Consider the following 15,166-nt stretch of genomic DNA (forward strand, 5'->3'; position numbering starts at 1 on the left):
TTGCATGAAGCTGGACGAGCTGTAACCCCTTGTCTGCGGTGCTGGGGGCCCGTCCCACCCCCACGTTCCGAGCACTCATAATTGAGAAGAGAGGGAAACCGAGTCCCCCGAGCCAGGGACATTTCCCAAGGTCACAATTAGAGCTAGGGCTGAACTGAGACAGGAGCTACAGCGTCCTGGTCCTCAGGGCTGGAAACCTTGCATCTTTTTTTTTTTTTTTTTGAACACTGCAATAAATAAATAAATAAATAAATAAATAAATAAACACGCAAAGACACGTGGATTTTCAACAGACTAAAAATGATTTCGTTTAGGACAGGACAGTATTGTTTAAAGAAAACAAAAATAAGTTTCTTTTGGAAAAGTGTTTTGCTAAAAGGAGCCCAGGTAGTCCACCCTCTAATTTCCCAGATAACAGGCCAAATCTTTGCTTCTTCATTATTGTGTAATAATGTGTCTTCATTGCATTTCAACTATGATGTATAAAGTGCGGTGAAATTGGATTATTTTCAATCAATTTTAACTGTTCTTTAAGGCTGAATCTTAAACCGGTTTAAAATTTGCTTGAAATTTAATACACACTTGAAATGATAATTTCTAGGAGTTTACAGTCTAAAACTTGGTGTAGTACCATAATCACTTTACTAACAAGTATTGGCCAAGGAAAAAGGTTTTGAAATATAAATACGGAAGTACATTATCATTCTTCTATATAATTTTATTAGTTAAGCATAGTTCTAATGAGTGACTTCAATAGTATTCTAGCCTTCCCACTCATGAAAAGCCTCAGAGGTTTTAAAGGGTGGTCAGCCAAATGCCTTGTTATTGTTTATTTGGGTTATCTGTTTTAATAGCTACCTGGTTAAACTGTAGGATGACATTTAACTACTAAGGTGCCTTCAACCATTGGAACCAGGGACCGACTTTTAGTATTCAAGTTGCTGTCACAGAAGCAATTTTCTTTTTTCTTTTTGTGTTTTTGTTTGTTTGTTTTTTTGTTTGTTTGTTTTGAGATGGAGTCTCGGTCTGTCACCCAGGCTGAAGTGCAGTGGCGCGATCTCGGCTCACTGCAAGCTCCTCCTCCCGGGTTCACGCCATTCTCCTGCCTCAGCCTCCCGAGTAGCTGGGACTACAGGCGCCCGCCACCACACCCAGTTAATTTTTTTTATTTTTAGTAGAGACGGGGTTTCACTGTCTGAGCCAGGATGGTCTCGATTTCCTGACCTCGTGATCCGCCCATCTCGGCCTCCCAAAGTGCTGGAATTACAGGCGTGAGCCACAGTGCCCAGCCTTTTTTTTTTTTTTTTTTTTTTTTTTGAGACAGAGTTTCCCTCTTGTCGCCCGGGCTACAGTGTAGTGGTGCCATCTTGGCTCACTGCAGCCTCTGCCTCCTGTGTTCAAGCGATTCTCCTGCCTCAGCCTCCCGAGTAGCTGGGATTACAGGCTCCCGCCACCACGCACAGCTAATTTTTGTATTTTTAGTGGAGACGAGGTTTCACCATGTTGGCCAGGCTGATCTCAAACTCCTGACCTCAGGTGATCCACCCGCCTTAGCCTCCCAAAGTGTTGGGATTACAGGCGTGAGACACTGCACCCTGCCAGAGGCAATTTTCAATGATAGTAGTCCTATTCTGGGGATAGGCAGTACACATTACTTTTTTGTTTGTTGTTTACCGATTTACAAAAAGTATGCTTACTAAAAACTCCAAAACAAAACAAAACCAGATCCTCTAAAAAGCTATCTAAACTGTCATTGTGAATGATCAAAATTTTATTTTAGAAGAAATACTTGTCGATCTTTGAAATTTTGCAACACTCTGCAGGTGAAAAAACCCAGCACTCCATAGGCGTTAAAGACTGTGTGCTAGATTATCACAACAAGTATCAAAGCCAGGATAAGCTAGACCTCAAATTTTCGTTTACTGTTGAAAATACTTTAAAACTATTTTCTTCCTAGATATTAGGTCATTTCAATATTACCTCTTATATAAAAATTTCCATTCATTATTTGTAAATGCGGCATCAGTATTTATATATTTAAAGATGTAATGGAACTTTTTGTGATAATCTTATTAAATATCTGCAGACTCAAAATCTGTTTTACCTATATAATGGTCCTATAAACACTGTGGTAAGTTCCCATGTCAGTGCTTCATATGCTTTTGTTGAATATGTACACTCAATACTCCAGTTGAATCCAGAGTGATAGAGGAGATAAAACACTTTGTAATTCAAGATACTACGTCTCTGGAAAATAAGAGACAATGTAACTAGGAAGGAATCACTCCATTGATTGCCTTTAATTTTTGTCTTCGACACGGATAATAGCAATCACTGGTCTCTCTGTGCAATTTGGGCTTATTCTCTACTGCCATAACTGCAAATACCTGATATTTACTTATTTTTCCCTATAAGTAAGGAAACAGTGATATTTCTTGTAAATTAGATATGTGACCATTGAAACATTAATCATGTTATGTGTATAAAGTATATGCAACTGAATTGACATAACCTAAAACTTGAATATCTACTCTATTTCTAGAATATTATGTCTACTGCAAAAACACATGTCTGTAATCCCAGCTATTCAAGAGGCCGAGGCAGGAGAATCACTTGAACCTGGGAGGCGGAGGTTGCAGTGAGCCGAGATGGTGCCACTGCACTCCAGCTCAGGCGACAGTGCGAGACTCCGTCAGGGCACTCCGAGGGGTTGAATCACAGATGGACAGATGGCTCTTTCTCTCTCCACCTTTTTTTTGAGACAAGTTCTCACTCTGTCACCCAGGCTGGAGGGCAGTGATGCAATCACTGCCATCATGATGAGCTTGACATCATTTAATTCTTAAAGACTTTCCTAATGAACTCAGATGTTAACAAATGTGATTTTTAAAATATTGCATACCGTGTCAACATATAGAAGACCAGCATGATTCAATGAATCAATAGTTTCCAAATGATTTATGCATGCTATTATAAAATCATGCATGGGTGAAAGATCATTCAAAGTTCAAGATGGGCCAATGGATTTTCACATAATAGAGTATGAAGTGATTACTCATATGGTTCAAATTCCATATTGCAATGACCTTTTAAGAAACTACCACTTGTAAGAAACTACCACTTGTGGGCCGAGCAAGGTGGCTCATGCCTATAATCCCAGCACTTTGGGAGGCCGAAGCGGGCGGATCACGGAGTCAGGAAATCGAGACCATCCTGGCTAACGATGGTGAAACACCGTCGCTACTAAAAATACAAAAAAAGTTAGCTGAGCGTGGTGGCGGGCGCCTGTAGTCCCAGCTACTCAGGAGGCTGAGGCAGGAGAATGGCGTGAACCCGGGAGGCGGAGCTGGCAGTGAGCCGAGATCGCGCCACTGCACTCCAGCCTGGGCGACAGGGCGAGACTCCATCTCAAAAAAAAAAAAAAACAAAAAACAAAAACAAAAAAAACTACGACTTGTTGAGCCGGGTGTGATGGTGCCTACCTGTAGTCTCGGCTATTTGAGAGGCTGAGGCAGGAGGATCACTTGAGCCCAGGAATTTGAGGTTGTTGCTATGATCGTGCCTGTGAATAGCCGCTGAACTTCAGCTTGGGCGACATAGCAAGACCCTGTCTGTAAAGTAAACAAATTACCACTTATTGAAATTTGATGCCATATCAAAGAAGACTCATTTCCAACTACATATCTGTGTGACAATGGGTATATATGAAGCAGATATGAGAATCTTGCTGCTTTCTGTTAAGTCAGATATTAAAGAGATTTGCAAAAATATAAAACAATACCACTCTTTTCATACATTATTTTATTTAGAAAAACAGTTACTTTTCATAAAAATGTTATTTTAACATATAATGTGTTTATTATTTTCTTTCTTTTCTTTTTTTTTTTTTTTTTTTGAGATGGAATCTTGCTCTGTTGCCCAGGCTGGAGTCCAGTGGTATGATCTCGGCTCACTGCAACCTCCACCTCCCAGGTTCAAGTAATCCTGGTGCCTCAGCCTCCTGAATAGCTGGGGTTACAGGTGGTGCCACCACGCCCAGCTAATTTTTATTTTTTATTTTTTGTATTTTTAGTAGAGATGGGTTTTTGCCATGTTGCCCAGGCTAGTCTCGATCTCCTGAGCTCAGGCAATTAGCCTGCCTCACCTCCCATAGTGCTAGGATTACAGGCATGAGCCACCACACCTGGCCTATTTTCAAAGCAAGGTAGTTAAAAGGATGCAGAAATCAGCTTGAAGGAACTAATGAAGTTGACTTTGATCACTTGATGAGGTGGTGTCTGCCAAGCTTTTCCACTGTGAGGTTACTTTTTCTCCTTATAATTAATAAGAGAAAAGGCTCATAATTAATAAGAGGCCACCCACCGCGGCCTCCCAAAGTGCTGGGATTACAGGCATGAGCCACTGTGCTCGGCCAATTTTTGGAGGGAGATACTTTAAAACTACACAAATACCCAATTCCTTAACAAATTATCAATCCATTTATTAAAATTGATTCAAAATTTATTTTATTTTATTATTATTTTTTGAGACGAAGTCTTGCTTAGTCTCCCAGGCTGGAGTGCAGTGGTGGGATCTTAGCTCACAGCAACTTCCACCTCTAGGGTTCAAGTGATTCTCCTGCCTCTGCCTCCCAAGTAGCTGAGACTACAGGTACCTACCACCATGCCCGGCTAATTTTTGTACTTTTAGTAGAGATGGGGTTCACCATGTTGGCCAGGCTGGTCTCAAACTCCTGACCTCAGATGATCCACCAGCTTCTGCCTCTCAAAGTGCTGGGATTACAGGCATGAGCCACCGTGCCCAGCCTGGATTCAGAATTTCTTATTCACTGATTTAAAAATCTGTTTACTATCATTATTTTGATGCTAGCACTGTCCCAGATTTGTCCAGTGAGAGGTCCTTCAAGCTGGCTTTTGTGTTCTTTTAATTTCTTTGCTCTTTGGTACAAGTGGTCAGTAGTTTAACTTAACTTACTGGTAACCCCTTTAGCACTCTTGTCTTTTTAGAAATATTTTGTGGTGCTTTGTTTTTGAATATTATCTGAATATAATGTATTTCCATAGTTTTAGATCAAAACAAGGGCCAACTAGCCTCATCCAGTAAAGGGTTATCTAACCTTGAAAGGAGACTTAAAAAAAAAAACCTATACCCTTCATATTTACTGCATCTGTTTTCTATCATGCATCAACTCTAGTAACCAAGTGAACCTAAAATCAAACTAGTAGTTTTTTGTTTTTACGTGGGTATCTTCCCTCTGCTAAAGTTATAAAATTTTAGCATATTAAAGCTAATGTATTTGTTTCTGCATATCTTGTATTTCTGTTGATTATTAATTAGGTCATCATAAAAATACAACCTAACAATATAAAAGAAGAAAAATTTAATACAAATATGTTCAGATGGTATTGTATATAAAACATTTTAATGCTAATACTTAAGTCCTTTAGGTACTTTGAGCAGTACCTTTTGTGTGTGTGTGTGATGGAGTTTTGATGTTGTTGCCCAGGCTGGAATGCAGTGGCGCGATCTCAGCTCACTGCAACTTCCGCCCCCTGGGTTCAATCAATTCTCTGTCTCAGCCTCCCGAGTAGTTGGAATTACAGGCATCTGCCACCATACCCAGCTAATTTTTTTTTTTGTATTTTTAGTAGAGACGGGGTTTCACCATGTTGGCCAGGCTGGTCTTGAACTCCTGACCTCAGGTGATCCACCTACCTCGGCCTCCCAATGTGTGGGGATTACAGGCATGAACCACCGCGCCCACCCTGAGCAGTACCTTTTTATTGAGAGTTTATTGAATTGTCTCTTTCTATTAAGAAGAAATTGACTGTTTTTCCAAAGTGTATGGAAAATTATTTCCAAAGTATTTTTCTGTATATTTCATCAATTATTTGGTAACACTGAAATGTTTTAGTTTTAAAACATTTTAAGCTGGTGATGGTGGCACACACCTGTAATCCCAGCACTTTGGGAGGCCGAGGATCACCTGAGGTCAGGAGTTTGAGACCAGCCTGGCCAACATGTTGAAACCCCGTCTCTACTAAAAATACAAAAATTATCTGGGTATAGTGGCATGTGCTTACAGTCCTAGCTACTCGGGAGGCTGAGGCAGGAGAATCACTTGAACCCAGGAGGTGGAGGTTGCAGTGAGCTGAGATTGCACCACTGCACTCCAGCCTGAGCGACGGAGCAAGATTCCAACTAAAAAAAAAAAAAATTTAAAACTTTTGGGTAGCATGCATAAAGTTAGTTAACTCTTTTTACATAGTATATAATATTAGACAATATTTTATAATTCAATATGTTCACATCAAAATCTGTGTCCTTTTTTAAAAATTACAATATTATTTATTATTGCAGTTAATGGACATTTACCAAGTACCTATTCTTTACCAGTTACTATGATAATGGCAATAGTAATAATAATTCTAATAATAGCAATAATCCTTTACTTTCATGGAATGTTTACTCTAGTATTTCATTGAATCTAATGCCATTGGTTATAAATACACAATTTTTACATACTGTTAAGAAAGAGACCTCTATAAAAGTTGATTTAAAATAAGAGAGAAAATCTTGCCAATTAAACTGTTCATTATACAGCATTAATTGTAAAATACATCTTAACTTCAGAGATGTTAAGAAATGAAAAGTTATCATTTTAGAATTGAATGGCTGGGCACAGTGGCTTACGCCTGTAATCACAGCACTTTGGGAGGCCGAGGTGGGAGGATTGCTTGAGCTCAGGAGTTTGAGACCAGCCTGGCCTACACAGTGAAACCCCGTCTCTACTAAAAATACAAAAGAATTAGCCTGGTGTGGTGGCGCACGCCTGTAGTTTCAGCTACTCAGGAGGCTGAGGCAGGAGAATTGCTTGAACCCAGGAGGTGGAGGTTGCAGTGAGCCGAGATTGTGCCACTGCACTTCAGCCTGGGTGACAAAGAAAGACTCCATCTAAAAAAAAAAAAAAAAAAAAAAATTGATAAAATACAGCAGTTTAAATATTAACTCATTTGATTATACCAATTCTATGAAAGTTTCTTAGGTAGCTTTTCTAAGGTCACACAATTATTAAACAGATTGGAGACCAAGCATCCTAAAACTCCAGAGTCTCACCCTTAACCACTAGACTATACTGCCTTCAGTCAAGGTGATTAAAACACAGTCACTTCTTTTAAGCAATTCATGGGAATGGGAGGAGAGAAACAGGTAAATAATTTATGCCATAATATGATAAATGCCTTAGTAGAGCTATGCATAAGAGACTATGGGGATACAGAGGAGAGACTGTTTAACTCTGTCTGAGGAGACTTATGTGTACCAAATCCTCTTCTGTCTTTCCTTTGACAAATAAGTGGATATTATAGCTTAAAAATCATGGTTAGGCCAGCCAGGCACAGTGGCTCATGCCTGTAATCCCAGCACTGTGAAGCTGAGGCAGGAGGATTGCTTGAGTCTAGGAGTTTGAGACCAGCCTGGGCAACATAGTAAGACCCTGTCTCTAAAAAAAAAAAAAATTAGCTGAGCATGGTGGCATGTGCCTGTAGTCCTAGCTACTTGGGAGGCTGAGACTGGAAGATTGCTTGAGCTAGGAGTTTGAGGCTGCAGTGAGCTCCGACCATGCCACTGCACTCCAGCCTGGGCAACAGAGTGAGACCCTGTCTCAGAAAAAAAAAAAAAATCAGTTTAGGTTCTGTTTTAACCCTCCTGTGTTACTGTGGCTGTGTTTTGATTTTTGATTTCTACTGTTGCAGCTAAAAAAAAATTCAAAATACAGGTTAAGCTTCCCTAATCTGAAAACCTGAAATGCTCCAAAATCTGAAACTTTTTGAGCACAGACATAACTCCACAAGTAGAAAATTCCTAGTAAAAAATAACATGAGGAAAAAAATTTTTTTCCTCAAATTGTTATTATTATTATTATTATTATTATTATTATTATTATTATTATTATTTTGAGACAGAGTCTCGCTCTGTCGCCCAGGCTGGAGTGCAGTGGTGCAATCTCAGCTCACTGCAAACTCTACCTCCTGGGTTCAAGTGATTCTCCTGCCTCAGCCTCCGAGTAGCTGGGATTACAGATGCCCGTCACCATGCCTGGCTAAATTTTTTTTTTTTTTTGACACAGAAGTGCCTGTAAACTGGGATTACAGGCACCTGCCACCATACCCAGCTAATTTTTGTATTTTTAGTAGAGATGGGGTTTCGCCATGTTGGCCAGGCTGGTCTCGAACTCCTGACCTCAGGTGATCTGCCCGCCTCGGCCTCCCAAAGTGCTGGAATTACAGGCGTGAGCCACTGCGCCTGGCCTAATTTTTGTATTTTTAGTAGAGATGGGGGTTTCACCATGTTGGCTAGGTGGGTCTCGAACTCCTGGACCTCAGGTTATCCGCCCGCCTCGGCCTCCCAAAGTGCTGGGATTACAGGCATGAGCCACCACGCCCAGCCATAAATTTTTTAAAAAGAAAAATATATATATAACGAATTCCACACCTGACCTCATGTGACAGGTTGCAGTCAAAACAAAAGCAAACAACACACGGCTTATTCAGCGTCCCCAAGGGAAAAAAGACTCTTCCAGCTCCCTTCAGTTACAATATATCTTTTCTGAGTATGTCCAGGTTTCCTTATGCAAGCGTGCCCACAAAGGGTAATAAAATGGCACATGTTCAGACTGATCACACCAACAGCAGATTCCCCATGATGCCCTACATGGTGCCAAGACCTATATGCATTATTTATTGTGTGTTTTTGTTTGCTTGCTTGCTTGCTTATTCTCTGCTCTTTGGTATAAAGATGTGAAAATATCAAAAAGGACCACAGATACCCCTATGGGTTATAGTGATGAGAAAAATAGGTAACATTTATGTTTATCTATAGCACAGAAAGTCAAGGTGTTATAGAAACTGAACACTGGTGTAAGTGTGAAATACCTTACAGAGGATATGGTATTAGAATGACCACTATATATGACCTGAAGAAAAAGAAGGATAAACTGTTGAAGTTTTATATATATCAGAAGTAGTATATATAAAGTGGAAGTGATGAACAGAAGTTAATTAAAAATAGAAAAACTGCATAAAGCTAAAATGAAGATCTCAAGCGATGAAGTTAAAATGAAAGGAACTGTGAATATTGAACAGGCCAGTTGTAGAATTTTTTTTTTTTTTTTTTTTTTTTTTTTTTAGATGGAGTTTTGCTCTTGTTGCCCAGGCTGGAGTGCAATGGCGCGATCTTGGCTCACTGCAACCTCCGCCTCCCGGGTTCAAGCGATTCTCCTGCCTCAGCCTCTCGAGTAGCTGGGATTACAGGCATGCGCCACCATGCCCGGCTAATTTTGTATTTTTATTAGAGCTGGGGTTCCTCCATGTTCGTCAGGCTGGTCTTGAACTCCCGACCTCAGGTGATCCGCCTGCCTCAGCCTCCCAAAGTGCTGGCATTACAGGTGTGAGCCACCATGCCCGGCCCAGTTGCAGAAATTTAAGAGAAGACATGGCATTACATTTTTAAAGATTAAAGGTGATTAGCATCTGCTGGTCACGAAGCAGCAAAGAAATACATTGACAAGTTTGCCAGGGTCATTGCTGTTGAAAATCTGACACAAGAACAAGTCTATAATCCTGATGAAACAACACTCTTTTGGCATTATTGCCCCAGAAAGACACTGACTGCAGCTGATGAGATGGAAATTAAGGATGCCAATGACAGAATAACTGTGTTAGGATATGCTGATGTAGCAGGCATGCATAAGTGTAAACTTGCTGTGGTAGGCAAAAGCTTCCTTCCTCACTGTCTTCAAGGAGTGAATTTCTTACCAGTCCGTTATGCTACCAAAAAGGCATGCATGGGTCACCAGGGACATCTTTTCTGATTGGTTTCACAAACATTTTGTACCAGCGGCTCGTGCTCACTGCTGGCAAGTTGGACTGGATGACAACTGCAAGATTTTGTTACTCCTTGATAACTGTTCTGCTTATCCACCAGCTGACATTCTCATCAAAAATAATGTTTATGCCATGTACTTTCCCCTAAACGTGACTTTAGTAATTCCATGTGACCAGGCTATGCTTGGATCAATGAGAGTAAATATGAAAACATTTTCTTTCTTTCTTTTTTTTTTTTTTTTTTTTGAGACGGAGTCTTGCTCTGTCGCCCAGGCTGGAGTGCAGTGGCACGATCTCAGCTCACTGCAAGCTCTGCCTCCCGGGTTCACGCCATTCTCCTGCCTCAGCCTCCCGAGTAGCTGGGACTACAGGCACCCACCACCATGCCCAGCTAATTTTTTGTATTTTTAGTAGAGACGGGGTTTCACCATGTTAGCCAGGATGGTCTCAATCTCTAGACCTCATGATCCACCCGCCTTGGCCTCCCAAAGTCCTGGTATTACAGGCGTGAGCCACCGCGCCCAGCCAAAAACATTTTATTGTGCAAGCAGTGATAAACAGAGGTGTGGGTGTGACCTTTTGTTCTTTTTTAAGTTTTTTTTATTTAAAATTAAGACAACTGCAGATTGTCCCCATGGATGACTAACATCGTTGACTCCTTTGCTTTCTGATGGTTCAGGGTACACAAACATTGTTTCATGCATAAAATTATTTAAAATTATTTTTGCTGTGTTGCCCAGGCTGGTCTCAAACTCCTGGGCTCAAGCGATCTTTCTACCTCAGCCTCCCAAAATGCTAGGATTATAGGCATGAGCCACCATGCCCTGCCAGAAAGTTTTCAAAAGGAGTTTAGCATGAAGGATGTCTTGTATACTGTTGCCAATGCTTGGAAATCAGTGAATAAAGATAAATTTGTGCATGTCTGGCACAACTCTGGCCTTTGACTATGTTTAGCGATGATAATGAACAAGTTGGTGACTTTTAAGGATGCCATATGTCGACAAAGTGAGAAAAAAATGATGTCTGACCTCCTTACATATACAAAAAATTGCCTTCAGAATTTGTCAGTACAAGCTGGGCGCGGTGGCTCAAGCCTGTAATCCCAGCACTTTGGGAGGCCAAGGCGGGCGGATCACAAGGTCAGGAGTTCGAGATCAGCATGGCCAATATGGTGAAACCCCATCTCTACTAAAAATAAAAAATTAGCCGGGTGTGGTGGTATATGCCTGTAGTCCCAGCTGCTTGGGAGGCTGAGGCAGGAGAATCGCTTGAACCTGGGAGGCGGAGGTTACGTTGAGCCGAGATCACGCCACTGCACTCCAGACTGGGTGACAGAGCGAGACTCCGTCTCAAAAAAAAAAAAAAAATTTGTCAGTACACTGAAAGAAATGGATATCGAAGAAGTTTTTAACGTTGATCATGAGGTTCTAGTTGTTCATTAATTGACCAATGGTGAAATAGCCAAAATGGTTCTGAATCAAGGTGATCATGATAATAGACATTATAACAATATAGATGATGTTAACATGGCATAAAAAGTGCCCATAGACAACATGATGAAAATATGTGATGAGCTTATTGAAGGACTAGAGCAGGGTGCATTTATAACAGGACAAGAAATCATGTTCTTTTATAAAATCAAAGAGAGACTTCTAAGACAAAAACTTGTCAGTAAGGCACATGACTCTGGAGGAAACATTTTAAAAAGCCATCTAGCAGAATTCCCCCTCACTCCTAGAGAACCCACTTCCTGGTCCTTCAACTACTTCTGATGTTTCTTCTCACTTAAAAAAAAAATAACAGTGTATGGTAATTTTTTAATCAAAACACAGTGAGGCTGGATGCAGTGGCTCACACCCGTAATCCCAGCACTTTGGGAGGCTGAGGTGGGCAGATCACTTGAGGCCAGGAGTTCAAGACCAGCCTGGCCATCATGGCAAAACCCCATCTCTACTAAAAGTATAAAAATTAGCCAGGCATGGTGGCACACACCTGTAATCCCAGCTACTTAGGAGGCTGGGGCACAAGAATCACTTGAACCTTTCAGGTGGAGGTTGCAGTGAGCCGAGATCATGCCACTGCACTTCAGCCTGAGCAACAGAGTGATGATCTGTCTCAAGAAAAAACAAAACAGGCCGGGCGCGGTGGCTCACGCCTGTAATCCCAGCACTTTGGGAGGCTGAAGCGGGTGGATCACGAGGTCAGGAAATGGAGACCATCCTGGCTAACACGGTGAAACCCCGTCTCTACTAAAAAACAAAAAATTAGCCGGGCGTGGTGGTGGGCGCCTGTAGTCCCAGCTACTCGGGAGGCTGAGACAGGAGAATGGCGTAAGCCCGGGAGGCGGAGCTTGCAGTGAGCCGAGATAGTGCCACTGCACTCCAGCCTGGGCGACAGAGCGAGACTCCGTCTCAAAAAAAAAAAAAAAAAAGAAAGAAAAAACAAAAACAAAACAATGAGACAGGTGGAGACTAAACACCTGCCTTTTTTGTTGCTGTTTTTAACAACTGATATAGGTATTCTGGTGATGCTACTATGTTACTTAGTTACCCTGAACATTATTTTTTCATTGCATTAGTGGTATTTCGTATTTTTTACTGTTAAGTACTTATGTATGAATAAGTGTAAGAAAATGCTTATCGGTAGCCTATAAATTCAGTCAAGAATGATGGTGATGCCAAACAACTACAGATTGTTCTCATGAATGATGAAGAGAGTGGCTCCTTTGTTTTCTGATGGTTCAGTGTACACAAACTTTGTTTCGTGCATAAAATTATTTAAAATATTGTGTAAAATTATCTTCAAGCTATGTGTATGAGGAGTATATGAAAACTAAATAAATTTTATGTTTAGGCTTGGGTTCTATCCCCAAGATCTCTCATTATATATATGCAGATATTCCAAAATCTAAAGAAGTCAGAAATCCAAAACACTTCCAGGCCCAAGCATTTTGGATAAGGGATACTGAACCTGTACCATTACACTCTTTAAAACACTTGTACACTTTGGGAGGCCGAGATGGACAGATCACGCGGTCAGGAGATCGAGATCATCCTGGCTAACACGGTGAAACCCCGTCTCTACTAAAAATACAAAAAAAAAATTAGCCGGGCGTGGAGGCGGGCGCCTGTAGTCCCAGCTGCTCAGGAGGCTGAGGCAGGAGAATGGTGTGAACTCGGGAGGCGGAGCTTGCAGTCAGCCGAAATCACGCCACTGCACTCCAGCCTGGGTGACAGAGCAAGACTCCGTCTCAAAAAAACCCAAAAAAACACTTGTAATGTCTACCCCCAAAAAAAAAAAAAAGGTCAAGATTCATTAGGTGTATTTTATTAAAATTAACTTCAGGAAAATTAAAATGTTCAAAATAAGTAAATATAGTTTAAATTTTCACAGGTGCTGGAGAAAATTTGGAGAATACAATGGCAGCCTTTCAGCAGTAAGTATGTAAAAAAGGTAAAAGGTACTCTTTTCTTTTACAGTTTGCAGGCTTTCTTTAAAGTGATGATGATCCACAAAGTGAGGATAGTGTAAGTGTAGCATCAGTTTGTGATAGTTGTTTCTATTTTGTTAAAATTTCTTTTTTTAATTAGTTGGTCAGAAGTGTTACAAAGAGTTTGGCTTCTGTATTACTGAAAAAGCAGATGGGAGTTTAGGGTAATCAAAAGATACTATAGTTACAAAGCTGAAAGAAGACATTTGTAACAAGGAATGTACTGTGTATAATGCTAATTAGTCTTGGAGAGAAAGAGAAAATGAAACAACTGTTACAGTGGCTGCTATTTATGAACAGGATTATGTGTCTTTGTACCCAGTAATTTTTGTACAGAACTGAACCTGCAATCTGGTTTCTTCTTGGAAGCCTCAGGAGTGTTGATCTTTTTTTTTTTTTCAAATAAAATACATTTTTAAATTCCTATATATAATTTCATATAAGTGTCTTTTAGAGCACCTCACAGAGAAGCAGCAGGAGAGACAGGAATGAAAACTAATTAATACCTCGTTCTTTGTCTTAGAGTCAATGATTATCATCAGTCTATGGTAATCATGAGAACACTGTTTTTCCTGAAAAATAAAGCAAAGGATGTGAAAAGTTAAACCCAATGAAAGACATTACCTATCCATAATTAGTAAGGTCCATATTTAGTAAGATAAATATTTTCTTATATAATTTTTGAGCCAATTAATGTATATAATTGGGACTAAGAAATTTGGAGAATTTGACTTCACTTTTTGTTCTGCTTCTCACCATTCAAAGACACCTTAGAGATTATTTTTCCTATTATTATTAGGTACAAAGCTATTGTTTTTTCATATTCTAGTTTCACCTAAATCCTATCTTCCTTGTATTTGTCATCTCTTACTCTTCTTGTTCTATACTATGATGCCTTTTGTTTATGATCTCAAAAGCCTCTTACAAAAATGTAAAATTTTGGCCAGGCATGGTGGCTCACACCTGTAATCTCAACACTTTGGGAGGCCAAGGCGAGGCAGGTTAATCACCTGAGGTCCGGAGTTCAAGACCAGCCTGGCCAACGTGGTGAAACCCCATCTCTACTAAAAATACAAAAATTAGCTGGGCGTGGTGGCATGCGCCTGTAAGCCCAGCTACTCGGGAGTCTGGGGCATGAGAATTGCTTGAACCCGAGAGGCAGAGGTTGCATTGAGCCGAGATTGCACTGCTGCACTCCAGCCTGGGCAATAGAGTGAGACTCTATCTCAAAAAAAAAAAAAAAAAGTAAAATTTTTCCTCCTATCACAGACCATGAAATGGACTATTTTAATTTAAATACTTTATTTATTTTCTCTACTTGGATTACATATCTGGCTAGCTAGCCATAACTAAATATAGATGTATAATTTTATGTGTACAAATTATACAACATATACACACACTATCATATATCATCTGTTGCCCCTGAGGTAGGTCATACATATAACTTGAGAAAAAAACTACTCATAACTTTGAGTGATTTTAGCATTCTTCATGCTTAAGGTACATTATTTTATGTTTTTCTCCATATTTTTTTGTTAAATTTTTACCAACCACCATTATTTATGAAATTAAAACACTGGGTTATACAATAAGTTATTTTAAAGGATGATACATTTGAAAATATCACAATTTTTTCTAACCTTTGAAGATTTTAATCCTCTTAACATTTTTCTGATATTTAAAGGATATCTAATTTAAATGGTTTTTACTTGCTAAATACAACATATTTTTCATCTTGAACAGTTTTTATATAGTTTTGTTCAAATAGTAACTACTGAAAAGTACCACA

General features: G+C 40.0%; 1 protein-coding gene across 3 annotated transcripts in view; it reads left to right on the plus strand.

Annotated features, from left to right (window-relative positions):
* GDPD1 (glycerophosphodiester phosphodiesterase domain containing 1) overlaps positions 1–15,166 on the plus strand; it is a 55,460-nt gene that overhangs the window by 704 nt on the left and 39,590 nt on the right. For all 3 annotated transcript variants that reach the window (NM_182569.4, NM_001165993.2, NM_001165994.2), the window contains exon 2: positions 13,278–13,320. In NM_182569.4, coding sequence (NP_872375.2) covers positions 13,278–13,320 — 43 coding nt within the window. The remainder of the gene's footprint in view (positions 1–13,277; positions 13,321–15,166) is intronic.

This window comes from Homo sapiens, chromosome 17 (assembly GCF_000001405.40).
Source record: "Homo sapiens chromosome 17, GRCh38.p14 Primary Assembly".
NCBI classification, from domain to species: domain Eukaryota; kingdom Metazoa; phylum Chordata; class Mammalia; order Primates; family Hominidae; genus Homo; species Homo sapiens.